Below are 26958 nucleotides of genomic sequence, written 5' to 3' on the forward strand. Positions count from 1 at the left end.
CCACGTAGATAACCAGGACCACAGTCCACTACCTGCAGGCCCTCACTAGAGCAGCAGGCTCTCAGCAGGGGCCCCTGGGTTGAGCTCCCAGGCGCTTTTAGAGACAGGCGAGGCCTGATGGAGCCCCAGCAGCATGAGCTCGCAGTCCACTCATTAGTCAGAGTAAGATTTCTTCACCCTGACATCCATGTTGTCCCAGCTTCTAGAAAAACAAAGTAAACTAATTGCCGTTAATGACAGGGCTCTGAGAGTTTGGCCAAGACTCCGGGCCAGAATGTGTGTGCTGAGTTCCAAGGCTCTGCCCCGGCCCAGGACCTCTGCGATGAGGGGTGCCAAGCCTTGCATGCCACAGTCGAGGTGGTTGGTGTTTGTTTAAAAAAATCACAACCCAAAAATTCAGTCAGGCCCTGAGATTTTCTGTCCTTGCATGGGTCTTTCCTCCAGGCTCTGTTCCAGCCTTCTGCTTCTCACAGCTGCATTTATTTTGCTCAAATGCTAGTCTGTAAATACAGAAGGGGTTAGAGGAGAGACCCATGTCAGTCATCAGTTTTCATTTGGAGAAAAACTTGGTCTAAAAATGTTCTCTGTTCATGCCCAAATTGGTTCACTCCCAATCCCTGTGACTGTGGGGCCTTGGAACAAAGCCTAATGGAGGCGTTCCTGGGGCTCAAGGCACCTGAGAACCCCGCCCCACCCTGTCCCCCTGTCCTTCCACATGATTGGGCATTCGCGGGAGCATTGGCTTCCCGTGGGGGTGATGAGAGGGGCCGGAGGCACAGCTGCAGGTCAGAGAAGCAGCTGGTGGATGTGTCATGAGAAACGCCATCCTCCTCTCCTCACCGGAACTCCATAAGCCCTCCGTTACCAGCTGCACCTGTACTTGCTGAGCCGGGGAGCTGCGGCCTTGCCCAGCTCTGCAGGCCCGGCCCTCAGGAGGTGCACAGAATAGATTTCCTGAGGCTCGAGCTGCCTCGCTGCACTAAGGGGCAGGTGGTGCTGCTCAGTTTCTGGGTCTGGGGCTCTGAACCCTAGGACAGGGTGGACACTGGGTCCCTCCCCTGTCTCTGGGCAGCAGAATGAGCATATTTCCTCCTCTCAAAACCCGAAAGCTGTGGCTCATGGACACCCCCTTCCTCTGGGTGTGTCCCCGGGGGAAGGTGAGCCCCATCTTCTCTGTGACCTCTCCACCTGCTTCCAAGCAAGCCTGCCCTGGAGTATTCTGCTCAGAGGTCAGTGAGCAGGGTCTCCTGTGGTGTCCTGGGCCTCCAGCTCTGCAGTTAGCTTTGGAACTCACCCCTGTGCCCAGCCCTTCCCCGAGAGTGCTTGCAGCAGTGGCGCCCCTCTGTCTTCTTTGGAAGCCACTCCATCATGCCCCTTGCATATGGCGTGTTGACAAGTTGGGAGGACTGCCCTAGGCACGGCTGGCTGATGGACTCTGGGATGAGGCACTGCCTTCTCTCACCCAGCCGCAGACACACAGCTGTCCTGGGCCTTGCAGAGATGATTTTTCTCTTAAGTTACTGAGGCTGAAGAAGGTGTGGTCCAAGCCCTTCTTTTGAGAAGTTTCAGCAATTTTTTTTTTTTTTTTTTTGAGATGGAATCTCACTCTTGTCACCTAGGCTGGAGTGCAATGGTGCAATCTCAGCTCACTGCAACCTCTGCCTCCCGGGCTCAAGCAATTCTCCTGCCTCAGCCTCCAGAGTAGCTGGGATTACAAGCACCCGCCACCACGCCAGGCTAATTTTGTGTTTTTAGTAGAGACGGGGCTTCACCATCTTGGCCGGGCTGGTCTCGAACTCCTGACCTCAGGCGATCCACACCTGCCTCAGCCTCCCAAATTGCTGGGACTAAACAGGCGTGAGCCACCACAGCCGGCCGCAAATGTTTGTTTTTAGGTTAGTTCAGAAAGCGTGCAGTCTGGCCTCAGGCCCGTGCTCTCCCCTTCCTGACAACACAGCAGCCATGCTTGTTCCTCACTGGCCTTCCAGGCACTGGATCCAGTGGTGGTCAGAGCAGCCCCGCCCTCACGAGGGCAGGCAGACAGTGAACAAGTAAACAGCCCGACCAACATGTGATTTCACTAGTGATGCCTTGGGGCAGCACAGGGGCCAGGGAGAGGAACTGGGTGGCGGGTTGGGGAGCTCCTTGGGACGGGCAGTCAGGGAAGCCACCACGAGAGGTGACACAAGCAGAAGCTTACACGATGAGAAGGACCAGCCAGTTGAGGGTCGCAGGCTAGGGGCGTGCTTTGTGAGTGGACAGAGCGTATCAAAGCAAGAAAGAGCCTGGCTTGCCCAGAGGATGCAGCTAGAGAATTCCAGCAGGATGGCAGGGCCTGGGCCTTCAGGGCAAGCCCTTTCCCTGTGGGCCAGGCATGGTGGCTCACACCTGCAATCCCAGCACTTTGGGAGGCCAAGGCAGGAAGATCACTTGAGCAGGAGTTTGAGACCAGCTTGGGTAACATAATAAGACCCAGCCTCTACAAAAAGTTTAAAAACTAGCAAGATGTTGTGGCATGCGTCTGTGGTCCCAGCTACTCGGGAGACTGAGGCAGAAGGATTGCTTGAGCCCAGGCAGTCAAGGCTGCAGTGAGCTATGACTACACCATTGCACTCCAGCCAGCCAGACCCTGTCTCAAAAGAAGGAAACCAACCATGCTCGCTGCTGTGTCGATGTGGATTATGGGCGGGAAGGGTACATAGGAGGCAGCCGCATTGAGCTCTGGAGATGACAGTGGCTTGGTGGAGAGTGTCGGCAGTAGGATTGGAAGGAAGTGGACAGATTCACAATAAACAATAATGTAGTGCACATTTGCTGACTGCGAGATGAAAAAGACCACCTTTGCCCTGAGAGTGGGGGCCCGGGGTGCCCCCCTGTAGTCAGGAGGTACGCAGATTACGGCAGAAATGTACAGAGCACTGAGAGTTGAGAGAGGTGTGAACAGAGGCCACACGCCTGGGACCAGCCTCTTGGAGGAGCGGTTTTTTGAGTTGGGTCAGGAGAAGGAGCTGGCTGCGGGGCCAGGGACCCTTGTGGCCAGAAGCCTGCAGGCGCTCAGCAGCAGGAGGCTCTGGGACAGTGCTGCCTAGAGACTGTTCCCTGCATTTTCTCCTGAGGGAGGTGGAGGAGGACAGGCCTGGGAGATGCAACCAGGGGGTGGTTTGGAGCCTTTCTCTAGATGGGGCTGGAAGGCCACCTTCAGGTTGGGCGGAGGAGCCTCACTCTGGTTTTAACGACCTTCTGCCCTCTGCCCCCTTCCCTGTGTGCAGAGATTGTGGACGGCAACGCAAAGATGACCCTGGGAATGATCTGGACCATCATCCTTAGGTTCGCCATCCAGGACATCTCCGTGGAAGGTGACAGCCACCTGTACTGCCCCCGCTTCCCACCTGAGTCAGGGCGGGTTAGAGGAGAGCTGAAGTGTGATCTTCATGCTTCAAGCCTCTTCCTGTTTCCTTGGGGTCACTCACAGGGCCTGGCCCTTGCAGGGGTAGTCAGTGGGTGGCAGGTGAAGGGAGGCTCCTCCCAGCTGCCTGCCTCTTGGCTCCAGTGCCTTCCGAGTGCCTTTGCTCTCACAGCCTCATCTCAGTGGACCCTCACGCCACCCTCATGAGATGGGCTAGGATGGCTGGGCCCGTTTTACAGTCCAGGAACCCAAGTCCCAGAACAGACTAGTGAGAGAGTTGGGCCTGGGCCTGGTTCTCTGTCTGCTTGACATCCCCATCCTTGAAACTTGGCCCCCATGGACCCGTTATGAGCTCAGGCCGTCCAGGAATGGACAATTTCGCTTCCCTGCAAGCACCTGTGTGCACACAGGATGGGCAGAGCCACCTGGGCTAGCGTGCAGGGGCTCCCAGGTGCCAGGTCGCAGTGATGACTGGGAGAGATGTGCTTCCTGCCCTCGAAGGGCTCCCGGTCTGTGAGGACAGCCGAGCTATCCACGGGGAACAGAAGGGCCCCCTAGGCCTCTCTACAGCTGGTATTTCACCTTGTTCAAAAGAGGCCAAGGCCGGTATCAAGGGCCTGTCTGCAGTGTGTTCTGGTGGTGAAAGGCACAGGCTTGGTGGCCAGGCACATGGCACAGATTCAGGCCCTGACACCACCACCTCCTGGGGCAGCCCTGGTCAAGCGACTCTCCTCGGGGCCGTGAGGATTAAGCAGGGCCGTGTGTCCTGGCAGTTGGGCCTGGCAGCATCCGTCTGCATCCGGAATGGGAGTGGCTGTCCCGCTGCTATCACTGCTGCTGTTGTTAGGACAGATATCCTCTCCCCTTGGGTTTCGTTTGACCCCAGGCCTGAGCCGAAAGTCCCATCCAACTTGGGCTGAGTTCTGAGGGTTTATTTTTGAGCCAGTGCTCACTGTCTTTGTGTGTTTTGCAGAGACCTCGGCCAAGGAAGGGCTCCTTCTCTGGTGCCAGAGAAAGACAGCCCCGTATAAGAACGTCAATGTGCAGAACTTCCACATCAGGTAAGCGCCAGTCCTGGTCATCCTCTCCTTTCCTCTAGGAACCTGAGATCCTTCCTCCCACCTGCCCTGTTTGCTGTGTTTTTGTCGTGGTCTGTGAGATGCCAGCCCTCAGTCAGCCCCTCCCTGGCCACGGGCCCTACAAGCCCATGGGAAGGTCACCTGGTCCTCTCTGAGGAAGAGGAGGCAGTTTCCCAGCCATCCTGGCTGAAGGCAGTAAGGTCAGCCCTCTCGCCGGCCTAATAGAACGTTCTTCGTCCCCAGGCAAGGTGACTCTCAGAAGCAACAATAAAGCTTTTCATTTTTGAGACAGGGTCTTGTGCTGTCACCCAGACTGGAGGGCAGTGGTGTGATCACTCATCCCTGCTGCCTTGGCCTAGGCTCAAGTGATCCTCCTGTCTCAGCCTCCCAAGTAGCTGGGACTGCAGGTGCATGCAGCCACACCTGGCTAATTTTTAATTTTTATTTTTAGTAGGAACAGGGTCTCCCTATGTTGCCCAGGCTGGACTTGAACTCCTGAGCTCAAGCAGTCCTCCTACCCCGGCCTCCCAAAGTGCTGGGACTACAGATGTGAGCCACTGCCTGCCTCTGGCCTCTTCCTTTATTTTGACAGCTCAGGAGTGAATTGTTTTTAGAATTGCTAGTAAATTTAGTGTTGGGGAAAAATGTACTCTGTGGCTGCTAAGATGAACAAGCCTCAGCTCCACCATGAACCTGCTTCCCTCAGGGTGAGCGGGAGATGAGACATGTCCACCATCCCCGTAGCTGAGGCGAGCATGGGCACTGCCGCATGAGGTCCAGGGGGCGGCAAGAGGCAGGCCTGCCTGGTGGTTGGGAGCACTGGCTCTGGGGGCGGTCCTGAGGTCAGATCCGGTTTGCCTTGTGGCTCCACCCTCTGAGTCTCCTGGATGGCCCGCACAGGAATGAAGAGCAGGGCCTCATGGGGTTTGCAGCGGCCTCAGGCTCTCTGGGACCCTTGCTGGGTACAGAGGGCTTTTCCCATCGTGCTCACCCTGATAGCATGTGGTCCCTCCCTTGGTCACTCTTCTCTGTGTGTCTTCTTTTTTTTCCTGCCACTAACTGACTGAATCTTTCTATAGTTTCCATTCATTTTCTTCAACTAGTAAGTATCTAGCATGCCCGCTGCATGCCGTTAGTGGAGATACAGTGGCACCCAAACAAAGTTCCCATTTGTGGGAAGTTTACACCACAGCGCGGGGACCAGCTGTTAGCACAGCGGCCAGTAATCCTGCAGCATAACTTCAGTGAGAAGTGCTGCACAAAGACAGGGAAGTCAGATGAAGAAAGTTCCCTGGGTGGCCTTTCTGAGGAGGTGACATCGAGCTTGACCTCAGAGGGAACCAACCCTTAGAGGGTCTCAGGGAGGAGAATGTGACCCATATAGCTTGTAACTGACCAACTTGTGGCCTTGGGGAAGGTCTCTTTCCTCCAGAGACCAGCATGCCAAGTGAAATCCTGGCATTTAGCCAGCCCACGGACTGGCCTTCCTGTAAGTCAGGTCCGCCAGGGTGTGGAGGCCACACAGCACAAACACCAGCATCCTGCAGTGGCCACCTCCCCCGAAGCGGCCTGTCTGGTTCAGGGCGGCCTCCCATGGAAGGTGCTAGCAGTTATAAAGCAGTTGTCAGGAGTCAGGCACTGATCCAAGCATTTACTCATTTAATCCGCACAACAGCCCTATGTAGCAGGTATGTCACTATCCCCATCATACAGATGTGGAAACCGAGATAGCCTGGCTTACCCGAGGTCACACTGTCAGTAGGCAGAAGAGTCAGGATTTGATCACAGACTGCCTGGCCCCAGAGGTCATGCTTGCAGCCTCTCTGCCACACTGTCTCCATGCAGTGCCTGGCACAGGCCAGACTGCAGTGAATGGGAATTAGTCACTGCTGTGGGTGCACAGGGCCATACGGCACTCTCATGACAGTGAGCGGGCCCTCCTATAACCTTTGCCTTTCCTTCCCCAGCTGGAAGGATGGTCTTGCCTTCAATGCCCTGATCCACCGGCACAGACCAGAGCTGATTGAGTATGACAAGCTGAGGAAGGTGAGTGTCTCCAGCTCCCCTTGATGGCCCACAGACGTGCCCTGTCTGACCCCCTAACTCCGGGTCACCATCCCCATGCCCTTCCATCGCCAGCCTCCAGATCTGGGTTCTGCACGCAGATGGGCAGCCTGGGAGAGCCTTGTGCAGGCTCTCCGCAACCCCTGGCTCGGTGGCTGACTCTCACCTCCCTTATTCCCCTCGTGGACTGTCCAGTCTCCCTCCATGGCACTGCAACCAACCCGGGGTTATTTAAGGGCCTGGCCAGCCATGCTTTATAACTCCCCTTCCTCAATCTTCTGGATTCTAGAACCTCCTCTGCCCAAAGGGGCAGAGGGCAAGGAATTCCAAACCATCACCACAAGCCCATGTTGCCCATGCAGGGTCCTGCTGTCATTTGCCTGTACAAAGCCTGTATGGATCCAGGCCCTGGCCACCAGAAGCTGCCAGCCTCGTGGGGGAAGGCAGGACAAAAATTGTGTCCAAAGCAAAGCACCACACCAGGCCGTGTACATGTGCTCAGGCTGAATGGGGTGGCAGGGCATGGGGTCAGATCAGTGCTGCGGAGGAGGCTAGTGTACCCCGAGCGAGCAGGAGCCAGGAAAGGTCCCGGAAGAAGAGGCAGCTTAGAGCCAGAGGAGGGCTTCCTGGGGGAGGCACCAGATGGCACCCAGCCCGTTCCAGCCACAGTGAGCAAGAGAGCTGGGCCCCGGCCAGGGAGAGTTGGAGTGCAGTGGGCTTTAGTCCTGTAAGCAGTGGGGAGCCTGTGAGGGGGCTGGGGGACACTTTAGGGTGGTTGGGACCTGGGACCTCTCGGTTTGCTCCCCTTACCCAGTCCCCAGTGCTCTCTCAGGCCTGGCCCACATCTTCCAGTCAATGTGAAAACCAGGTTTTAGGGCAAGGGGCTTAAGCTAGGGTCTGTGGGTGGCTGGAAATTGTATGAAAAGAGTACACCTGCATTTTTCTGGAGAAAAAGCCCTGGTTTGCCCCACAAAGATTTCACGAGGCACTCCTGTGAGTGGGAATTGAATTTATCCAGGCGGTGCCCTCCCGCTCACACATCACACGTGGCTGAGAACTGCCTGAAGAAACCCCCAACCCTCGCCCTCCCGGGTCTCTCCCTCTGGGCCAGCCCTGCCTCCCTCCTGCTCCTGCACCCTGCCCTGACGGAGTTCTTGTTGTCCCCACTTGCCTCCTTCTAGGACGACCCTGTCACCAACCTGAACAATGCCTTCGAAGTGGCTGAGAAATACCTCGACATCCCCAAGATGCTGGATGCAGAGGGTAAGTCATCTCTTCTGTTCAGCCACCACTGTGCTTCCTGATGGCCTTTTCTGTCCAGGGCTGGCCTCGGGCAAGGGGCTGTGGGCACATCAGAGCTTTGGGTCACCTTGGGGAGCTGGCAGAGCCAGCAAGAAGGGCTGAATGATTCTGGGTGAACTGGGGACAGCCATGTCGCCCTGGGAGACAGAGCAAGGGTAGCCTGGGCTGGCCAGATGCCTTCAGGGATGAAGAAGCGTATGGGGAGGGGGAGCTGAAGGATCAACTCTCCTGAGGGTGCATCTCCTCAGGGCCCAGGAAGGGCAAGGTGGCTGAGGAGGGGTGCTTCAGGCTTCCTGCGAGCAACCCTGGCCTCTCCCTCCCTACCTGCAGCAGGCATGGAGTATGGAGCCCGACAAAGTGGAGTGTTTTGTTTTTTCCTTTTCCGGCTTTGCTCCATTTCCCAGCCATGCACTGCCCCATTTCCTAGCCATGCACTGCCCCAGCTGGGACCTGTGTCTCTGGCCTCTGGTGGCCCTTGGAGTTGACTGTCCTGCTGCTCCTTGAGGCCATTCTCAGAGAGAGGAAGTGGCCTCATTTTAATCCGCTTCCCACAGCCTTGTCCTTTCCAGACCCATGGGAGAGGGAGGGGCTGAGGGTGTGGCTGAGCCCACCCAAGTCACGCGTCACTCTGCAGGTCCCTCTCCCCCAAGGCCGTGGCCTTGGGAGCCCGTGGATCCCAGTGAGTGACGCCTCCACCCCCCGCCCTACTCGGGCAGTTTAACCCTTGTTGTTCACTTGCAGACATCGTGAACACGGCCCGGCCCGACGAGAAGGCCATAATGACCTATGTGTCCAGCTTCTACCATGCCTTTTCAGGAGCGCAGAAGGTACCGAGCAGGGCCAGGCAGGCCCTCCTCGCCGCCACCGCGCAATGCCGCCGCTGCCTCTCGCCTCCCGTGCTCACCTCATTTCTCTTGCAGACGGCAGTGGCCTCTCTCCAACTGGAAGCCACCCCCAGCTCCCTGGCGTTGCTGCCCCCTCAGCCTTAGCTCACACACCTATTGGGTACCTCATCTGTGCCAGGCTTTTCCAGGCATTGAGGATGCCCTGGTGACTGAGTCAGACAAGGTCCCTGTTCTCAGGGCACTTCCATGCTAGTGGGAGAAACATACAGCAGGCCTGTCACAGGAGTGGAATAGAGAAAATGGGGCCAGATGGGGGACAGAGATGGCTGGGGTGACCTTCAGCTGGTGCTGTCAATGTGGAGGGGTGAAGTGAGCAGGTACTTGCAGCAGGAGCTGCTAGATGCAGGCTGGGGCACAGGTGTTCCAGGCAGAGGGTGAAGCACTACGAAGGCCCTGAGACAGGAAGAAGCTTGGCGTATTCAGGGACCAGCTAGAGAGGAGTGAGTGACACGCAGTGATGGGTCAGGCCCAACAAGACCCTTGTGGTGTGGGATAAGAAATTCATGTTCCACTCTGAGGGCCATGGGAGCCCCTTAGGGTCTTACTCCGTGGTGGGAGCTGCTCACTCACATTTTCAGACAGATCATTTAGCAACTGACTCCTCCAACCCAAAACAAAGCTGCCTTTATAGGGCCCACAGCTAGTCTGTCTCCAGCCCAGGCCGGTTAGAAAAGGAATGCACCCTATTCGGACTCCACAAAACCCCGCAAGGCATGTCCACGCAGGCCTGGGGCTGGCTTCCAGTCCAGAGCAAGTGCTCTTCCTCCTGCATGAGCCTCAGGCCGGCCCGGCCGCCCTCCCTGCGTCTTTCACTCTCTCCTGCCTCTCTCTCTCTTTCTCTCTCTCTCTGTGCAGATATTGTGGGCACTCTGAGGCCAGATGAGAAGGCCATCATGACTTACGTGTCCTGCTTCTACCACGCTTTCTCGGGGGCTCAGAAGGTGAGCTGGGCCAGGCACACCTCGCTGCTGGGGCTGCAGACCTGCCTTCACCACCGCCCTTGCATCACCGCTGGCCATCTGTGGTTGGAGCCCTGGCCAGGCCGTGGGCCGCCACACCACACAGACTGACCCTGCCGGCCTCTGACTCGGAAGGTCCCCTGGGGCAGGTTTCCCGCCTGGCCGGTGCTGGGCCTGTGCTGAGGAGTCACAGACCTCTGTTTGAACACAGCCCACCCTGGGAGGTGGGTGGTGGCATCCTAGGCTCTCAGGCGGGGAAACTGAAGCCCTGCATTACAGTCAATGGCAGAGCTGGGATTTGACTGCCCGGCGTTCCCACTCGCCCTGTCCATCATCTGCACCAGGGCTGCCTGCCTGCCCCTGCCAAGCCCTTCGTGGGGAGCACTGGGCTTTACCCGTTTTGCAGCTCCTTCCTGCCAGGAAAGGCTCAGCATGTGCAGCCCAACCTGCACTCACGGTCCCAGCCCTCCAGAGGCCAGGCAGAGCCCACAGAGCTTGCGTGGCAGTGGCCGCCCTCCTGGGCCCAGCTGACCTCATGCTGCCTCACAGCTCCTGCCGGGCCCTCAGCGTTCACGCAGAGGCCCAAGCACTGCTCCCCCCGCTTGCCTTGTGGTCTCTGAAGTATCTCAGGCAGCATTCCCGATGCCTGCTTTGAAGTGTCAGCAGTTGGCACAGGTTCAGAGGAGGAGGCAGAATCGATTCTTGTTTACTGAACATGTACTACACGCTAGGCACCCTCCAAGGCCTTCACATGCACAGGCTTCCAGAGGGTCCCTGTGCACACCCCCAGGAGGGCTAGGCGCAGTTAGCCCCATTTGAGAGAGGAGGAATTGAAGTTTAGGGAAACAGCTATTCCTAAAACTAGAAGGGGGGGGCCGTACCTTCTGTGGACCCCTGCTTTGAGCCTCCCAACTAGCAGGTGCATTACCTACCGTCAGTCTGGCCTGGCCCCACTCTGCCACCTCTTGGTACTGTGACCTTGGGTGGGTCACTTGACCTCAGCTTCCCCACCTGTGAAATGGGCATCGCTGTAGTTCGGTCTCACAGGATTGTTCTGGGCGTGAAACGAGCTCCTGCAGGCAAAGGGCTTAGCACAGTGCCTGGCACGGCAGCTGCCATTTAGGCAGCTGCCAGGGAGCCACAGTGGTGGGGAGTGTGGTTCTTCCCAGCCTCGGGCCAGAAAGGCCTCTTCACCTCCTCAGCATGCGATTGGAGCTTGTGTTTGGAGTGTTCTGCTAGAGGGCACGGGCCAGGAGGGTGGAGGGAGGACCCCTGACCCACACTCCCGCGGGAGGGTGGGCAGGGACCAGCAGCAATGGACGATTCGTCACCACAGACCCCAACTAACAGCATGTTTGCCATTGGACTCACCCCTACGGGCCCCGAACCAGCCCCCTGCCCACCACATGGCCTCACCAGATTGCTTTTCTTTCTACCCACACTGCTCCCCTGTGCTTAGGGCTGAACTCCAGTCTGGAGGCTCTGAGGGATTTTGGGGGAGCAGGGACTGGCAGGCAAGCCCAGGACAGTATGGGTGGGTGCTGAGGCACTGGGCCTGGAGGCTTGTCACTGGCCCCTCTCTGAGGGGGTAGTGGAGGCCCGGCTGCAGGGCGCTGGCTGGTCAGAAAGGAAAGTGCTGGGTCCCTGTGTGCTCCTCAGGACAGCCCCGTGGTGCTGCTCCTGCTGCCTCGTTTCCCCAGAGACCCAGTCCAAGCTCTTGCAAGAGTGCTCTCTGGGGTTCATGTTTTATAAACGCAGAGTGAACCCCAGGTCTAGCGCCAGTGTGCCCATTCTGTCCTGAGATCATTTATTTCTAGTCACCGAAGCGTTCCCGCCTCGTTCCTTTATTCACTCACTCATTCAGCAACCCTGAACACCGCCAGTGCACTGAGCCCCAAGCTGGATGCGGGAACTCAGCGGTGAAACATGATTCCCTTGCCTTGCGGCAGCCCCGTGCTCACAGAGAGGACTTGAGTTTCGGGTGCCAGTTGTCTCTGCCAAGTTAGGAGTCAGGGACTGACCTCTGTGACCCCCACAAGCTGCAGCCCTGGCTGTGTTTTCCACACTGGCCTGGGGCCCATGTTCATTGGCTGAGGAACCTCTTGGACCTCATCTCTGAGGAGCACCGCCTGGGGCCCTGGGTGTGTGTCCCGCAGCATGGCGCGGGGTGTGCACGTGCGTGTGTGCGCTCACACGAGCACCGGCTGCCGCCTCCCCGCCTGTCTCCAGGTGCCATGTGTGGAGGGGAGAGGCTGGGCGTCGCTGCCTGCAGCACTGGCTCTGAGCCGTTGGCCAAGCCTCTCCATTTTCCTTCCCCATCACTCTGTAGACCCTCCTCACTCTTTCTGTTCCTGTTCTGTTGCCGTTTCAACTCCTCCTCTTGGACCCTTTCTGTGCTTCCTGAAAGGTACCTGGTCTCTCTCTCCCCGTGTGCACCCCCTGCCTCCTCTACACTGTTCACTGCCCCCTAGCAGGACAGGGCAGGACGCTCTCCTGTAGTTCAGGCCCAGGGACTATGTCCACCACTCTCACCCTCCAAAGCCCCAGCACTTTTCTGCCCCACGGATGGTGACTTCTGTCCTCTGGAGCTCCTATTAACATTGCCTCCAAGGCAGGAGAGTGGACAGGCCTGAGTGTGCTCCTGTGCACGGACCACTAGGCTCCTCCGGGACCCGGGCGCCCCTGCTCTGTTGCCCCCAGCTCTCCAGCTCTCGGCTTCCCATCCTTTCACCTTCCCACCGGGAGAGACTCCTCCGCAGTCTTAGGTCCAACGCAGCCGACCCGTCCAGCCTCACCCTCCTCTGTGTGGGGCACTAGAGGGTTTGCGAGCAGCAGTGGGAGGGCTCCCCAACCCTCCTCGGTGCCTCCAGGGTCTGGGCTTTCTGGACCCAGGGGCATTTTGCAGTCAGCAGTGAGGATGCCAACAAGGCCTATTGGGACAGGGCACCATCTCACTGGAGCTGTGCTTCCTCTCCTTCCCCTCTGTGAGGAGTTCCGTGGGCCATGGACCAGCTGCTTTCAAGGGACGTGCCCGTCAGGAGGGAGGGTGGCCAGCCCCCAGGCAGCCCTGACTGTGTGCTCCCCTCCAGGCTGAAACTGCCGCCAACCGGATCTGTAAGGTGCTGGCTGTCAACCAAGAGAACGAGCACCTGATGGAGGACTACGAGAAGCTGGCCAGCGACGTGAGTGTTCCCCCAGTGAAAGTCAGGGCCACCTCATTATCCTCAGCCAGAGGTCACTGTGACTCTTGCAGGGGGAAAGCAGGTGTGGCAGCGAGATGACCTAGAAAAGGCTGCGTGGTCACAGACCATGGCATTTAGCCAGCTGGTGTGTACACGACCTCTCCGTTTGCTTCCACAAGGCTAAGGGTCAGACCGGCAGCCACCTTGCCAGCCAGCCCCTGGGCTCCCGAGCTTGGGTTCCTACAGAGATGCTCAGGGACAGTGTTTCCTGGGCACCTCAGTGCTTTAGAATCACCTGGGGAGCTTTGTGAAAGCCCCTCTTCCCGTGCCCTGGCCCTGGAGAGAGTGATTCAGAAGGATGGAGAGGGGCCTGGGAACCAATAGGATAGCAGGCCCTGTGCAGGTGCTTAACGAGCAGCCCAGCAAGACGGGAACTCGGATTATCCTCCTTTCCAAGTGAGGAAACTGAGGCCCAGGGAGGGTCAGGCACGTGCCTGCTGTTACATGACTAGTGGGACAGAGAGCTGGGCTTCACCCAGGCAGCCCTGCTCTAGAGTCCAAACCCAATGCTTCAGTTGGAAATAAGGGTGGTTAGTACAACTCTTCTGGAGGCTCTTCATTTTTGAAATCTCCATATTTAAAAAATAAACGTAGGCTGGGCGCAGTGGCTCACACCTGTAATCGCAGCATTTTGGGAGGCCAAGGCAGGTGGATCACTTGAGGTCTGGAGTTCAAAACCAGCCTGGCCAACATGGTGAAACCTTGTCTCTACTGAAAATACAAAAATTAGCCGGGTGTTGTGGCACACACCTGTAGTCCCAGCTACTTGGGAGGCTGAGGCAGGAGGATCGCTTGAGCCTGGGAGGCAGAGGTTGCAGTGAGCCAAGATTGCGCCACTGTACTCTAGCCTAGCGACAGAGCAAGACTCCATTAAAATAAAAATAAAATAAAATAAAATTTCCCAAAGAGCAGTGGTTTGACTGCTCATCTAGAACCAGTGGTTCCCAGATTTTGCAATCTCATAGACCAGGAAAATTTGAAAAACTATTGGATGTCCAACCTAAGAGGGCCAGCTTTTTATTTTGCCAAGTTACGGATGTTTTAAAAAGAAACACTACCATCTGTTACCACCAGCACTTCTAACACCAAGATAAGGTAAAAAGGTTATTCTTAGAACCCCAGCCATTGCCAAGAAAGGGCAGCTGGCAGCACGCCTCACAATGTATCCACACAGAGGTATTTCTGTCTTTGAATTTCTCACTTTGCCAGAAGTTGGCATTTGGGAACCACTTCTCCAGCTTGTCCGTGCTGGCAGATAACTGATTTTGTACTTCTAGAATTGTTTTATTATTTTTTTGAGATGGAGTTTCACTCTTGTCACCCAGGCTGGAGTGCAATGGCACGACCTTGGCTCACTGCAACCTCTGCCTCCCAGGTTCAAGCAGTTCTCCTGCCTCAGCCTCCCAAGTAGCTGGGATTACAGGCGCGCACCACCACGCCCAGCTAATTTTTGTATTTTTTTTAGTAGAGATGGGGTTTCACCATGTTGGTCAGGCTGATCTTGAACTCCTGACCTCAGGTGATCCACTCACCTCAGCCTCCCAAAGTGCTGGGATTACAGGTGTGAACCAGCGTGCCTGGCCTAGAATTGTTTTAGAATGTCCAACTGTTTGTTACCCTTTCTCACTCCATTAAAGATCTGAGTAGTTCCTAAAAGAATATGTTTGTTTCTTTTTCAATTTTATTTTCTAATTTATGTCCCAGGCCCAGTGCACATACTGGCCTAGCCAGACTGAGCCAGGTGGGCTTGTCGGCCTTGCCCTTGAGGCACTTAGTGAGCCCAGAAGCAGTCAGGCTCTCAGCATGGAGCTCAGTGAAGACAGCGGCAGTGGGGCATGTGACAGCATGGAAAGGGACCTTTTTGGCGGGGGCATGGGAGTGGAGGTTTCCCCTCTTAGACCTGAGGGAAAAGACTAAGAGCAAAGGCATGGGCCAGGCATGGTGGCTCACCCCTGTCATCCCACCACTTTGGGAGGCTAAAGTGGGATTGCTTGAAGTTCAGGAGCTCAAGACCAGCCTGGGCAGTATACTGAGACCCCCTTCTCTATAAAAACTTAAAATAAAAATCAGCCAGGCTCGGAGGTAGGCACCTGTAGTCCCAACTACTTGGGAGACTGAGGTGGAAGGATGGCTTCAGCCCGGGAGGTTGCTATGATCATGCCACTTCACTCCAGCCTGGGTGACAAAGCGTGAACCTGTCTTTAAAAAGAAAAGCACAGGCAGGAACAGGAAGTAACAAGAGAACAGTACAGTGATGCAGGGACAGGGAGGGAGCCCACGCTCCCAGAGTTCCAGGTTGGGGGTTCTAGCAGGAATCGTGGAGAAGTTGGGCTGGGGAGCAGGGGTAACCCCCTAAGGTGGGGCCCTCAAAGATCCAGATCCCATGTGCCCATAAGCTGGGGGGCAGCCCGTCAGCACTCTGAGGGTCCCCCACAAAGGCCACGCTGGCTTCTGTGGCCCACAGCTCCTGGAGTGGATCCGGCGCACCATCCCCTGGCTGGAGGACCGTGTGCCCCAAAAGACTATCCAGGAGATGCAGCAGAAGCTGGAGGACTTCCGCGACTACCGGCGTGTGCACAAGCCGCCCAAGGTGCAGGAGAAGTGCCAGCTGGAGATCAACTTCAACACGCTGCAGACCAAGCTGCGCCTCAGCAACCGGCCCGCCTTCATGCCCTCCGAGGGCAAGATGGTCTCGGTGAGCACCAGGATTCACATGGGAGCAGCTGTGAGGGGCAGAGGCAGCCCTAGAACTGCCTGTGGGCAGTTTGGCCAGCGTAATCTTTCCTAAGTTGTTGATGTCCTGTGGGACATGGCATGGCCTTTCGGATGCAGTGGTCGGGGAGGGGTGCACTTCACTCGGCATTGTGCTCCCCTTTGGCCCTCACTCACTGTATTTTACACCCAGGGTTTTATACGCATCCCAAATCCTTGCCACGGGTTGTGTGGGTGTGGAGTGGTGTGAATTTGGAGCCGTGGTCTGCCATGATGGCATGACCGCCATGTGCTTGAGGCCCTTCATCAGCGGAGGGGCAGTGCGCCCTGGACGGTACCACCTCCCCATCTATGGTATTCATCCATTCATTCATGCACTCACCCGTTCACGCATTCATTTTGTTAATCCAGAATTGATTGTACCTGCTGAGTGCTGGGGGGCCCTGTGTAGGCATCCAGGTATAATAGCAAAGCATGACACAGACATGACCCCAGCCAAGTTCTGCCACCTTCCCATCAGCATCCCTTGGAGACATCCCCCTGGGTGCCTCCACTTCCTTGTGATAGCCCTGCCTGCTCCTGCCCTGCCCCAGGACATCAACAATGGCTGGCAGCACTTGGAGCAGGCTGAGAAGGGCTACGAGGAGTGGCTGCTGAATGAGATCCGCAGGCTGGAGCGGCTCGACCACCTGGCAGAGAAGTTCCGGCAGAAGGCCTCCATCCACGAGGCCTGGACTGACGGTACGGCCCAGCTCTGCCCCACTCTGCCCAGCCCCGCTCCCGTGCTCCCCTCCTGTCTCTCAGGCATGCATGGGTGTGCACACACAGCCCCCTGCCACGTTGGGTCTGTTTCTCAGGTGCCCTTTCTTGCTGCTTGGGAGCATGTGTGTGTGTCAGAAATGCTGCTTTAGAGCCAGGTTCAGTGGCTCACACCTGTAATCCCAGCACTTTGGCAGGCCAAGGCAGGAGGATCACTTGAGCCCAAGAGTTTGAGACCAGCCTGGGCAACATAGCGAGACCCTGCCTATACAAAAAAATTTTAGAATAATAAAATTAGCCAGGCATAGTGGTGCACACCTGTGGTCCCAGCTACTTTGGAGGCTGAGGTGGGAGGATTGATTGAGCCAGGGAGGTCAAGGCTGCAGTGAGCCGTGATTGTACCACTGCACTCCAGCCTGGGTGACAGAGCAAGACCCTGTCTCAAAAAAAAAGGAAAGAAATGCTGCTTTGGATTCCTTCAGCCCCAGAAAGCAGGGACCATTCAGGGGCCAGGTCCTCTTTGTTGCCCAGTCTGCCCTCGCCTCAGAGGTGGGACCCTGTCAGTCATCCAGGAACACAGCCAAGCCCCCTCCAGCACTTCAGGGAAGTGACCTTACACCCATCTGTTTGTCCCCTCTGCGTGTCTTCCCCATCCAGGGCGAGTGTGTGGGGCAGGCCTCTTCCATCCCCCGCACCCTGTGTTCAGAGTCGGCTTCCCTCTCCCACACCTCTGTGAGCGTGGACGGAAGGCTGGGGAGCCCATGTTCACTGGCACGTCCCTCAGGCTAGAGGAGGGCCTGCCTCCTGGGCCTGCTGCCGGACCACAGCCAGTGCTCACCCTCAGACAGTGCTCACCCACTGCCTTCGGCCCACCCTTCAGCATGGCCCACCTGTGAGCTCCTCCCACCTCCCATCCCTTCCCAGAGCCTCCTTCCCGGGCCTGGCTCCCCCTGCAGGAGCGCCACTGTGCTTTCTGTTCTCGGCAGCCCTGCAGCTGCCTGGCCGTTGGCTCCAGATGTGGGATTTCATCACGTCCCTGGCCCTCTTTTGGGTCATGCCAAGGTTGAGATTTCAGATCCCAGGGGTCTGGAAGCCTTCAGAAAGCTGCCAGTGCCTGGGAGAGCCACAAGAGCCACTCACAGGACTCCTCTCCCACTCTGGCCACCACCTTCCCAACACAGTCTCCCTGGCCCTCCGGCCGCCACTCCGCCCAGCTGAGCCCTTCCTTGCATTCCTGAGTGCATTTTCTCACCCCTCCCCACCCTGGCCCGCATGCGAGTGTGCAGCTCCACACGGCCTGCAGCCCTGGCCACGGCCCAGCTTGTGCCCTCCTCACATGAGCTCAGCTCGCCATTCCCGCGGCAGCTGCCAGCCTCAGAGCAGCCCAGCCCCTTTGCTACCAGGAAAGAGTGCGAGTGAGAGAGTGGATAGTGAGGGAGGAAGGGCCTGGCCAGGCCGGGTGCCGCACTTCCCTCTTGCCTGGCAGAAAGGCACCCATGTGAGGAGAGCGTGTTAGCACCGATGCCATCTTGTGTGGTTGGTGGCCTCCATCCATTCCCGGATTCACTCATTCGTTCAACAGACAGCTCAGGTGGCTCCAGCCGTCCTTATCCATGGAGGCCTGGGCGTCGCCCTGTGGCTGAACCTTCTGGGGGTCTTTCTGCCCACCCATCAGCTCTTCAGTCCCTCTACAGGGCTCCATGAGGCCCTGCAGATGGTTTCCTGAGGCCAAGGGGCTGGGTGTGGTGGCCCCACTGGCATTCCTCCCCTGGGAAGGGCTCTGGGGCAGCCTTCACCTGAGGTGTTTAGAAGCCAGCTCAGTCTCCGGCCAGGGCCCAGCTGGTTCAGCGGCCTCCACACGTCCCTGCCCCACCCCTACCTGACTGGGCATCCACGCGGGTCTGCCCATGGCGTCTGCCAGAGCCCCCAGGCAGGCTGGCCTACTAATTCCCAAGACTCAGAGCCTCTGTCCTCTCAAGTAGCAGTTACGTGAAACAGGACAGGCAGGCCCTCCACACCCCAGGGTCTGGTCGTAGCGGCCTCCTCCGCCCTGGGGTGGGTGGGCCACCTTCACTCCACACCCCTCACCATCCCCCACAGCCCGCAGCGGGAGGGTCGTCGTGGATGCTTCTCTGAGGGACTTGATTTCCTGGGAATACGACCAACCCCGAACGACCCCTTGTCCCCACTCCAGTTGTCCCTTGGCCTGGATCCCAGATAGCTGTGGCAATGGTCCGCTGCCCACATCCTCTCGGTGCACCCTTGCCAGGACTCTGCGGAGGCAGAGGGAGATGTCACCTGCTGTTTCTGGTTCCTGCCCCTGGGAGAAAGCAGTTGGAGAAGGGAATTGCAAGGCCGCCTTGTGGCTGAGCCTCCTGCCCCAGGGCTGCGCAGCAGGGCCGGTGGAGCCAGAGTCTCCCAGGCCTCCCACTTCTTGGCCATCAGTGCCAGAGCCGATCCTGTGGGGAGTCTGGTAGGTGCCTGACAGTTGAGACTGGGAGAGGCTGAGGTGAGGCTGGTACTGGCTCCATGCCTGCTGTGCTCGAACACCACCTCACTGAAACTTGAGAATAGTTCCATGCCACACAGGTACTGGGGCTGGCCCCATTTTACAGATGAAGGCACAGGCCCAGAGAGGCCTCGGTGGCTGCACTGGGCGGGCAGCTGTCAGGTGCTGGGACAGAGCTGAGGGGATCTCCGCTACCACTTGGGGGAAGCCCAAGGTGGTGTGCCTGAGGCAGGGCCCCTGTAGGAGCTGGGGTGCAGCCACCTTCCCAGGCTGGCATTTTCCCTGCGGTTCCCTAAAGACCTTCACTTGCTTGCAGGGCTTCCTTGAGCTTTGGTTCTGGGATGTGTAATTAGCCAGGATCAGGGACTAATAACAGCGTTCCTCCTTTCCTTTAAAGGGCCTGATGGTGGGCCCGCCCCAATGCACACAGGACACCTTAGGACAGCGTGGGGCACTTAGACGTGGAGAGGACCACCACCTGTGCGGGTGCAGGGTCAGGGTCCTAGAAGAAGCTGGCTCTGATGCTTCCCCTTCCCCAAGCCTGCTGGGACATGGGCTTTGACCCCGGGTGCTTCTCCGGATCAAAGCCCTCCAGAAACAGGTGCTACCTTTCTAAGCCGTGCTACCACGGCCCGATTTGTATGGTTTCCTACTAACAAAAGTTGCTAAGTTTAGGACACACAGGTTGAGATGGAATCTCTCTCTCAGGCTGAGCAACCCTGAAGTGTCCATCCAGGTCCATCCAGGTTACAGTTGGGCTTAGAGATCCCTGGAGGGTACGGAAGAAGATTCTGGAAGTTTCCATGCCACTGTCATTGGCATGGAAGGATGTGGGGTCCACAGTCTCTCTTTCCCTCCCTCTGCTTGGACAGCCCCTCCAGACTCCTGCCCCACAGCTGCCGTGCTGTGGTCTAAGCGTCTCTCTGCTCCTACCAGGGAAGGAAGCCATGCTGAAGCACCGGGACTACGAGACGGCCACACTATCGGACATCAAAGCCCTCATTCGCAAGCACGAGGCCTTCGAGAGCGACCTGGCTGCGCACCAGGACCGCGTGGAGCAGATCGCCGCCATTGCCCAGGAGCTCAAGTACGTGCGGGCTCAGGACACTATCATCACCTGGCTCTCACCACAGCCTGCCCAGACTGGTGGCGGCAGCACGCCGAGGCCCAGCCTGCCTCAAGGCCTGGAATAGGGTCCCCAGTGCCCCAACTGCACCTCCTTCCAGAAGCCAGGGAAGGGCCTTATGGGATGAGGCCTTTTGCCCATCCTGTCTCAGCCCCAGGTGGGACACCTGAAGGATTTGGATTCTCTAGCAGGAGGGAGGTGTCTGGCCCCTTGTCTTGATTCTTCAGGCTTTAGGGGTCCCTGGGGGTGTCACCTCTCCTGGCCACCCCAAGTAGGCCCTGGTCCCCTGATGGGATGGGCCCCAGCCTCCGTTGCTCCCAGCCATAGGTCCCTGAGGGAACCAGGCTGCACAGTGAGCCTATTGTTCTGCTCGGCCCCTTCCCTTTCTTGCTCAGAATACACTTATTGTAAGAGCTTCCAGGCAGCCGGGCTCCTTCCCCTCCCCACCCAGTCAGATAAACTTGTGTACACAATTAGTACGCTGAGGGTCGCGCTGGTGAATGGGGCCTTATTCCACCAGTGCAGCGGCCAGCAGCAGGGCGGGCCCAGGCAGCAGGAGGCCCAGGCCATTACTTCATGGAAAATCCACAGGCCCTCGAGGGGCAGCAGGGCTCCCAAAATAGCCATCTGCTCAAAAATAGGATCCTTGGCTATAACTGCTCTTTCCACCGACACCCCCACCCCACCACAGTCACCCCCAAAGGTCTGCTTATTCCTATGAGTCCAAGGCCCGTTTATTCCTGAGTCCAAGGCCCAGCCCTGATGCCCCAGTGGAGCCCCATGCTGGGCAGAGCTGGTTTCCTCCCCGACTCACTACCCACTACTGTCCGGGTGCTTTGAGGGTTCCCCATTGGCTCAGCCAGAGGCAAGAGTCCCGTGGGGCCATCACAGCATTTGGCACAGTTGGGGCACTCCAGGGGTCCTGCCACCACCACGTCCAGGCCAAGGAGAGCAAGGTCACAGATGCAGCACCCTCGGGGGTGTGGGGGTGGGACACAGGCAGCTTCCCCAGTGACGGAAGAGCCCCTGGAAGCTGGTAGGAAACAGACTTGAAATAAACCCTAGGCTTGCCCCCTTCTCAGGCCCTGGGCAAAGCTATGTGAAACCCATTACTCTGCTCAGGAACAGGCGGTCCCCGAAGCAGCTCTCTGGACGGTAGCCCTGAAGGAACGGAAGGGAGGGCTGTCCGGGTCCTGTCTTTTCTGCTGAGGGGGAATTACAGAGGCCTGTGGACCGTCCAGGATGAGCCGGATGGGCAGCCCTGCTGAGCACTGATTAATGGCGATAGCAAAAACTCACTGAGCTCTCAGGGCTTTATGTGTACCAGCTCATTTAATCCCCACAGCAACTGTGTAACTGAGGGAACCGAGGCACAGAGAGGCCAAGAGGTTTGCCCAGGGTCACACAGCAAGGGAGTGGTTGAGATGGGAATGGAGCCCAGGCCCCCAGCCCTACTGTGGAGCACAGCCTCAGCCCCTGTCCGCTGTCTGTGGCTGGCTCGCCTGCTCCCCATGTCCTGTTCCTCCCCAGAGTCGTTCCCTGCCCCCTACCCCTCCTCAGGCCCCAAGGCCTGGTTGAAGGGCCACACTCTTAGCTGATAGTGGCAGAATGAGTCAGGGATGGGTGAGCAGGAGGAAGCCGCTTCCCTTCTCACCCCTGGTTATCACCTGTTAACCAGCTCTGTTATCACCCCTTCCCTTCTACCCTGGGGGTCCCATGGGCCAGAACCAAGCTGTGATTTGATTGACCAATTAGTGATTGGTTGCTGATATCCTGGAATGTTGACTGCCCCAACACCCTGGCCTGGGAACCTTGGGGGTAGATGGGTCCAATCCATCTAGCCACTTGCCCTTGCCGAGTCTCATTGCTCTCTGCCCGGCCCGCAGCGAGCTGGATTACTACGACTCCCACAATGTCAACACCCGGTGCCAGAAGATCTGTGACCAGTGGGACGCCCTCGGCTCTCTGACACATAGTCGCAGGGAAGCCCTGGAGGTGAGGAGGGGGTGACATCACCCACGGAGCTCTGTGCCCCTGCTGCCCCGGGGCTGGTGGTGTGGATAGTGTCCAGACCTGTGAGCTCCCCCCACCTCCCACGGAGAGGATGTTCTCTGACTCCTCAGGGCCCTCTGGACCCCTCCCCACCCCTCCTGCTCACATACTGACCTGCCTTCCCTCTGTCCCTGCCCCCTTCCCTCCCACACACTAGAAAACAGAGAAGCAGCTGGAGGCCATCGACCAGCTGCACCTGGAATACGCCAAGCGCGCGGCCCCCTTCAACAACTGGATGGAGAGCGCCATGGAGGACCTCCAGGACATGTTCATCGTCCATACCATCGAGGAGATTGAGGTTCGCACCCCCCGGCCCCCCATCTTCCCAAGAGCCTCTGTGGGGCTGGGCCGCCCCCTCACTCCAGCTCCTCCCCTAGGGCCTGATCTCAGCCCATGACCAGTTCAAGTCCACCCTGCCGGACGCCGATAGGGAGCGCGAGGCCATCCTGGCCATCCACAAGGAGGCCCAGAGGATCGCTGAGAGCAACCACATCAAGCTGTCGGGCAGCAACCCCTACACCACCGTCACCCCGCAAATCATCAACTCCAAGTGGGAGAAGGTGGGCCGGGGCCATCCGTAGGGGCTGGGGCAGGACGGCGGGGCTGGGGGCCACCTCCCTGACCGCTCCCACACCGCGTCTCCTCTGCCAGGTGCAGCAGCTGGTGCCAAAACGGGACCATGCCCTCCTGGAGGAGCAGAGCAAGCAGCAGTCCAACGAGCACCTGCGCCGCCAGTTCGCCAGCCAGGCCAATGTTGTGGGGCCCTGGATCCAGACCAAGATGGAGGTGAGGCACGGCTGAGCCCCACAGAGCTGAGAAGGTTCCAAGAGAGCTCCCGTAGTGAGGGGGTCCCCGGCCAGCCCAGGGCCTGCAGACTGAGGCGCCTGGCAGAGCAGGTCCCAATTCTCACCACCCAGGGGCCGTGATCACCCTGCGGGGTTAGGAGAGTCCACAGAGCTTGCGCCTGGAATCCCGGCACCTGGGGAGGCTGAGGCGGGCGGATCGCTTGAGCCCAGGAGTTCGAGACCAGCCTGGGCAACATAGTGAGACCCCAACTCTACAAAAAATACAAAAATTAGCTGGGCATGATGGTGCGCAGCCCAAGGAGGTCGAGGCTGCCGTGAGCTACGATCATGCCACTGCACTTCAGCCTGACAGCGAGACCCTGTGGTCTCTAGTGGGCTACCTATGGGAGGTGGGTTTGATCCCTGAATGCCCTGGTCTGATGATTGTGAGACTCAGGCACTATTGAACCTCTGATCCTGTCCTCCCAGCTCTAAAATGGGGATGAAAACAGTTACCTTATTACTTCAACAAATGCTTTTTGCACCAACTAACCAGCCACATGAGTGCTGTCATTCTTACAGCAGTTCTGACCACCACTCACTGAGCACTCACTACATACCAGGCAACCAGGCTGGCAGCAGGCAACCTCGTTTAAACCCAGCAAGCCTGAGAGGGGGTCCGGGTGCCAGGCAGGTCAGCCCTGAGGTTCATGCCAGCCACGCAGCATGTGGACTTGTGGGTGCCGAGACATGGAGTGCCCGAGGTCAGGAGCTGCAGCCAGGCCAGGGTTCAGATCCCAACTCTGCCTCTAACAGCACTGAGCTGTCCTCCGTGAGCCTCGGTTTCTACCTCTGCAGTCAGGGCCTGCCACAGCCCTGGCCTCACAGAGAGGTCAAGGGTAAAATGAAGTTGGGCACAGGGAGCGCTTGGCAGAGAAAACCTCCCTGTCATTGTCATAGCTGCTTTAACATGAGAGGGCAGGACCGGAGGGGACAGTTGTGAGCAGTGGGCCTTCCCTCCCAGGGACCCATGGGCCAAGGCCCCAGGCCAAAGGGGCCCCGGGGAAGATGCAGGCCAGCAGCGCGAGTGGGCTCCTCCAGGTGGTCAGTGGGGGCAGGCCCACCAGCCTCACCCCACCGCCTGCACCCACCCCCGTAGGAGATCGGGCGCATCTCCATTGAGATGAACGGGACCCTGGAGGACCAGCTGAGCCACCTGAAGCAGTATGAACGCAGCATCGTGGACTACAAGCCCAACCTGGACCTGCTGGAGCAGCAGCACCAGCTCATCCAGGAGGCCCTCATCTTCGACAACAAGCACACCAACTATACCATGGAGGTGCGCGGCTGCCCCGCCCGCTGGCCTTTCCACCAGCATGGCCGGCTTCCTCACTGGAAATGGTTCGGGCCAGTGAGAAGATAGCTGTCTGCTGTCTGTTGTTTTTCACTCTGTTTAAAAATTATTGAAGAGACCAGCACTTTGGGAGGCCAAGTGGGAGGATGGCTTGAGCCCAGGAGTTCAAGACCAGCCTGGGCAACATAGCAAGACCCTGTCTCTACAAAAAATGAAAATATTAGCCAGGCATGGTGGTGCATGCCTATAGTCCCAGCTCCCCAGGAGGTTGAGGTGGGCAGATTGCTTGAGCCAGGGAGGCAGAGGTTGAGGTGAGCCGAGGTCATGCCACCACACTTCGGTCTGGGTGACAGAGCCAGACTCTGTCTCAAAAAAAAAAAAAAAAAAGATTGAAAAGACTAGATCAAAATGTTTAGACATTTTTAAAAATTACACTTTCCCTAGCACTGCTCTCATCACCATGACAATGCCCCTCACAGGACAAGCTGTTCTAGGGGCCCACAGAGGGCACCGTTTGCCCTGTGGCCTTAGCAGTATCAGCCTTGCTCAGGGCCAGAGCCAGCCAGCGGGTGCCGGGTCAGGGCAGCAGCTCCCACTGGCTAACACTCCGGGGACATTACAAGCTGGTCGCCGTCATATTGGTAGCTTGAGAAACCAAAAGACTGGACACTCTTGATCCAACCCATACAGGTCCACAGATGCTTCAAACCAGAGTTGGCTTTTTTGTTTTTTTCCCCTGAGAGCCAGTGGTGAGACACTGACCAGAGTTTGTCCAAACAGTCTCCACAGGGATCCCGGCACAAGATTCATGGGTCCTTGCCCTTCTGCTGCCCCTGTAGCTGGGAAACACACTTACTGTGGAGACAGACATTGGCAGAGGCAGCAGGGAGGCACCATGGCCCGTGTCCCCTGTGAGGTGTACAGGAGAGCAGGGGCTTTCCCCAGGGCGGGAGGACAGTTCACAGTCCTCCACGTGTGAACCACGGTGAGGACAGTTCACAGCACCCGGCCCACGATCACGCCCCCGTCTTTCCGCAGCACATCCGCGTGGGCTGGGAGCAGCTGCTCACCACCATTGCCCGCACCATCAACGAGGTGGAGAACCAGATCCTCACCCGCGACGCCAAGGGCATCAGCCAGGAGCAGATGCAGGAGTTCCGGGCGTCCTTCAACCACTTCGACAAGGTGAGCAGCCTGCCACCTCCTCGGCCTCTCCCCTCCCGCCGTTGCCGTACCAGCCCACACCTTCGTCTCTGCATCTGTTCGTCCATTCCCATCACAGTTGCTGAGCGTCGGCCGCCACTCCCAGGGCCAGCAGGGCCCTGCCACTGTCAGGGTGTAGGTGTGCGGCACCAAGACCCCAGCCTGGGCCACTTCACACGCACAGGCAGGGGGCCGGAGGTCCCAAGTCCTGCCTTCTGGGGTGGCATCCTCACCACCCCCAGGGCAGATGAAGTCTCAGCACACCCAGGCTTTGCGACCCGGTCTGTGAACCTGGACACAGACACCCCGCACAGTGCTTTTAGAATTCAGATTTGGTCCGGCAGCCTCATCAGAGGGGCCCTGAGCGCCAGAGTTTGCTGCCATCCCCAGCCCACCCCTGCCGGGCTGACGGACTGAGAAGTGTGCAGCCTCAGCTCTGCACCTGGCGCCCCCAGGACAGGATACAGTCCCCTCTGTCCCACTCCAAATCCCAAAGGCAAGGAGAACCCCCCCCCCGACCCTCCACCAGTCCTGGGACTTGTCCTCAGTTCTGTAGCATCCAGCTGCCACCCCTGCTGTGGGCAGAGAGGTCGGGGAGGCCTCTGCCTTCCTTTGAGCTTCCGAGGTTGGGGAAAGGATGAAAGGGGCCCGTGCCGCCCCCGACCCCACGTGTCCCTGGCCATCTCCTTGTCCATGTTGCCTCTAACTCTGTGTTTCCCTCCCCTACGTGTCCCTTCCCCCTGCCCTCTGCATGTGACCCCGATCCCTCATCCTGGTCTCCACGCCGCCCCTCCCGCACACCTGCCTTCGGATGGCCCCGGCAGGATCATGGCGGGGCGCTGGGGCCCGAGGAGTTCAAGGCCTGCCTCATCAGCCTGGGCTACGACGTGGAGAACGACCGGCAGGTACTGCACCCTGGGCCCCAGCGGACCATGGCATTAACTGCTCTCTCTCTCTCTCTCCTTCTCTCTTTCTCCCCTCGCCATCCCACCCCTGCCATCCTGTGTGCCATCTCATGGCTCTCTTGCCTCCCTGCCCACATCTCCCTGGACCCCTTCCCTTTTACCTGGTCTCTTGGGGCCGCTGTCTCCCTGCTCCCCGCCACTGTCCTGTCTGCCTGCTGTGCACATGGGGCGGCCCCTCTTGCCTACTCTGGGCCCGGCCTCCTCTGCTATGCCTGCGTCCTCGGAGCAGAAGCAGACAGGCAGCATGGACTCCGATGACTTCAGGGCTCTGCTTATCTCCACAGGATACAGCCTGGTATGCAGCTCTGTCTCCCCAGCCACCCGCTCCTCCTCCTCCTCCTCCTCCTCCTCCTCCTCCTCCTCCCCCCCACCTCTCCCCCTCACCGCCTCCAGAGCTTCCTCGTCCTCGGGGACACTCCTCCGCCCGAGCAGCGCAGCCGTGCCTGCCTCTTCCTCTGCTGCATCTGCCGGGGTGGGGTCCCTCCGATGACTTCCCGAGCCCCCCTTCTTCCCTAGAAGTCTCCAGAAAGAGGGGG

The 26958-nt window shown here is 58.3% G+C and overlaps 1 protein-coding gene and 1 long non-coding RNA gene across 8 annotated transcripts in view, besides 6 other annotated features; one reads left to right on the top strand and one right to left on the bottom strand.

The window, feature by feature from the left end:
* ACTN4 (actinin alpha 4) overlaps positions 1-26958 on the top strand; it is an 83941-nt gene that overhangs the window by 54016 nt on the left and 2967 nt on the right. For 2 of the 7 annotated variants that reach the window (NM_004924.6, NM_001440299.1), the window contains exons 4-19: positions 3270-3356; positions 4380-4467; positions 6453-6531; positions 7731-7812; positions 8593-8678; positions 12805-12897; positions 15422-15652; positions 16263-16410; positions 19874-20024; positions 21950-22058; positions 22273-22413; positions 22493-22675; positions 22767-22901; positions 24060-24239; positions 25293-25439; positions 26282-26362. In NM_004924.6, the coding sequence (NP_004915.2) occupies positions 3270-3356; positions 4380-4467; positions 6453-6531; positions 7731-7812; positions 8593-8678; positions 12805-12897; positions 15422-15652; positions 16263-16410; positions 19874-20024; positions 21950-22058; positions 22273-22413; positions 22493-22675; positions 22767-22901; positions 24060-24239; positions 25293-25439; positions 26282-26362 (2021 nt within the window). Of the gene's footprint in view, positions 1-3269; positions 3357-4379; positions 4468-6452; positions 6532-7730; positions 7813-8592; positions 8679-9611; positions 9698-12804; positions 12898-15421; positions 15653-16262; positions 16411-19873; positions 20025-21949; positions 22059-22272; positions 22414-22492; positions 22676-22766; positions 22902-24059; positions 24240-25292; positions 25440-26281; positions 26363-26651; positions 26718-26958 lie in introns of all 7 variants that reach the window. The other 5 variants (NM_001440296.1, NM_001440300.1, NM_001411143.1 and 2 more) reach the window with 5 other exon arrangements.
* On the bottom strand, positions 260-26692 carry LOC107985291 (uncharacterized). Its single transcript, XR_001753937.2, has 2 exons — positions 26524-26692; positions 260-500 (listed from the first exon to the last, which is right to left on the bottom strand). It is a non-coding gene; the product is annotated as an uncharacterized LOC107985291 (long non-coding RNA).
* Positions 841-1341: an enhancer, noted in NCBI's record as "H3K4me1 hESC enhancer chr19:39193145-39193645 (GRCh37/hg19 assembly coordinates)". NCBI's record gives its function as "activates a minimal SCP1, AML or CMV promoter by ChIP-STARR-seq in primed H9 embryonic stem cells {active_cell/tissue: H9 hESC(primed)}" and the evidence as "EXISTENCE:reporter gene assay evidence [ECO:0000049][PMID:30033119]".
* Positions 2951-3720: an enhancer, noted in NCBI's record as "H3K27ac-H3K4me1 hESC enhancer chr19:39195255-39196024 (GRCh37/hg19 assembly coordinates)". NCBI's record gives its function as "activates a minimal SCP1, AML or CMV promoter by ChIP-STARR-seq in primed H9 embryonic stem cells {active_cell/tissue: H9 hESC(primed)}" and the evidence as "EXISTENCE:reporter gene assay evidence [ECO:0000049][PMID:30033119]".
* Positions 6140-6926: an enhancer, noted in NCBI's record as "H3K27ac hESC enhancer chr19:39198444-39199230 (GRCh37/hg19 assembly coordinates)". NCBI's record gives its function as "activates a minimal SCP1, AML or CMV promoter by ChIP-STARR-seq in naive H9 embryonic stem cells {active_cell/tissue: H9 hESC(naive)}" and the evidence as "EXISTENCE:reporter gene assay evidence [ECO:0000049][PMID:30033119]".
* Positions 16092-16937: an enhancer, noted in NCBI's record as "H3K4me1 hESC enhancer chr19:39208396-39209241 (GRCh37/hg19 assembly coordinates)". NCBI's record gives its function as "activates a minimal SCP1, AML or CMV promoter by ChIP-STARR-seq in primed H9 embryonic stem cells {active_cell/tissue: H9 hESC(primed)}" and the evidence as "EXISTENCE:reporter gene assay evidence [ECO:0000049][PMID:30033119]".
* Positions 16972-17692: an enhancer, noted in NCBI's record as "H3K27ac-H3K4me1 hESC enhancer chr19:39209276-39209996 (GRCh37/hg19 assembly coordinates)". NCBI's record gives its function as "activates a minimal SCP1, AML or CMV promoter by ChIP-STARR-seq in naive H9 embryonic stem cells {active_cell/tissue: H9 hESC(naive)}" and the evidence as "EXISTENCE:reporter gene assay evidence [ECO:0000049][PMID:30033119]".
* Positions 24965-25848: an enhancer, noted in NCBI's record as "H3K4me1 hESC enhancer chr19:39217269-39218152 (GRCh37/hg19 assembly coordinates)". NCBI's record gives its function as "activates a minimal SCP1, AML or CMV promoter by ChIP-STARR-seq in naive H9 embryonic stem cells {active_cell/tissue: H9 hESC(naive)}" and the evidence as "EXISTENCE:reporter gene assay evidence [ECO:0000049][PMID:30033119]".

This window comes from Homo sapiens, chromosome 19 (assembly GCF_000001405.40).
Source record: "Homo sapiens chromosome 19, GRCh38.p14 Primary Assembly".
Taxonomy (NCBI): domain Eukaryota; kingdom Metazoa; phylum Chordata; class Mammalia; order Primates; family Hominidae; genus Homo; species Homo sapiens.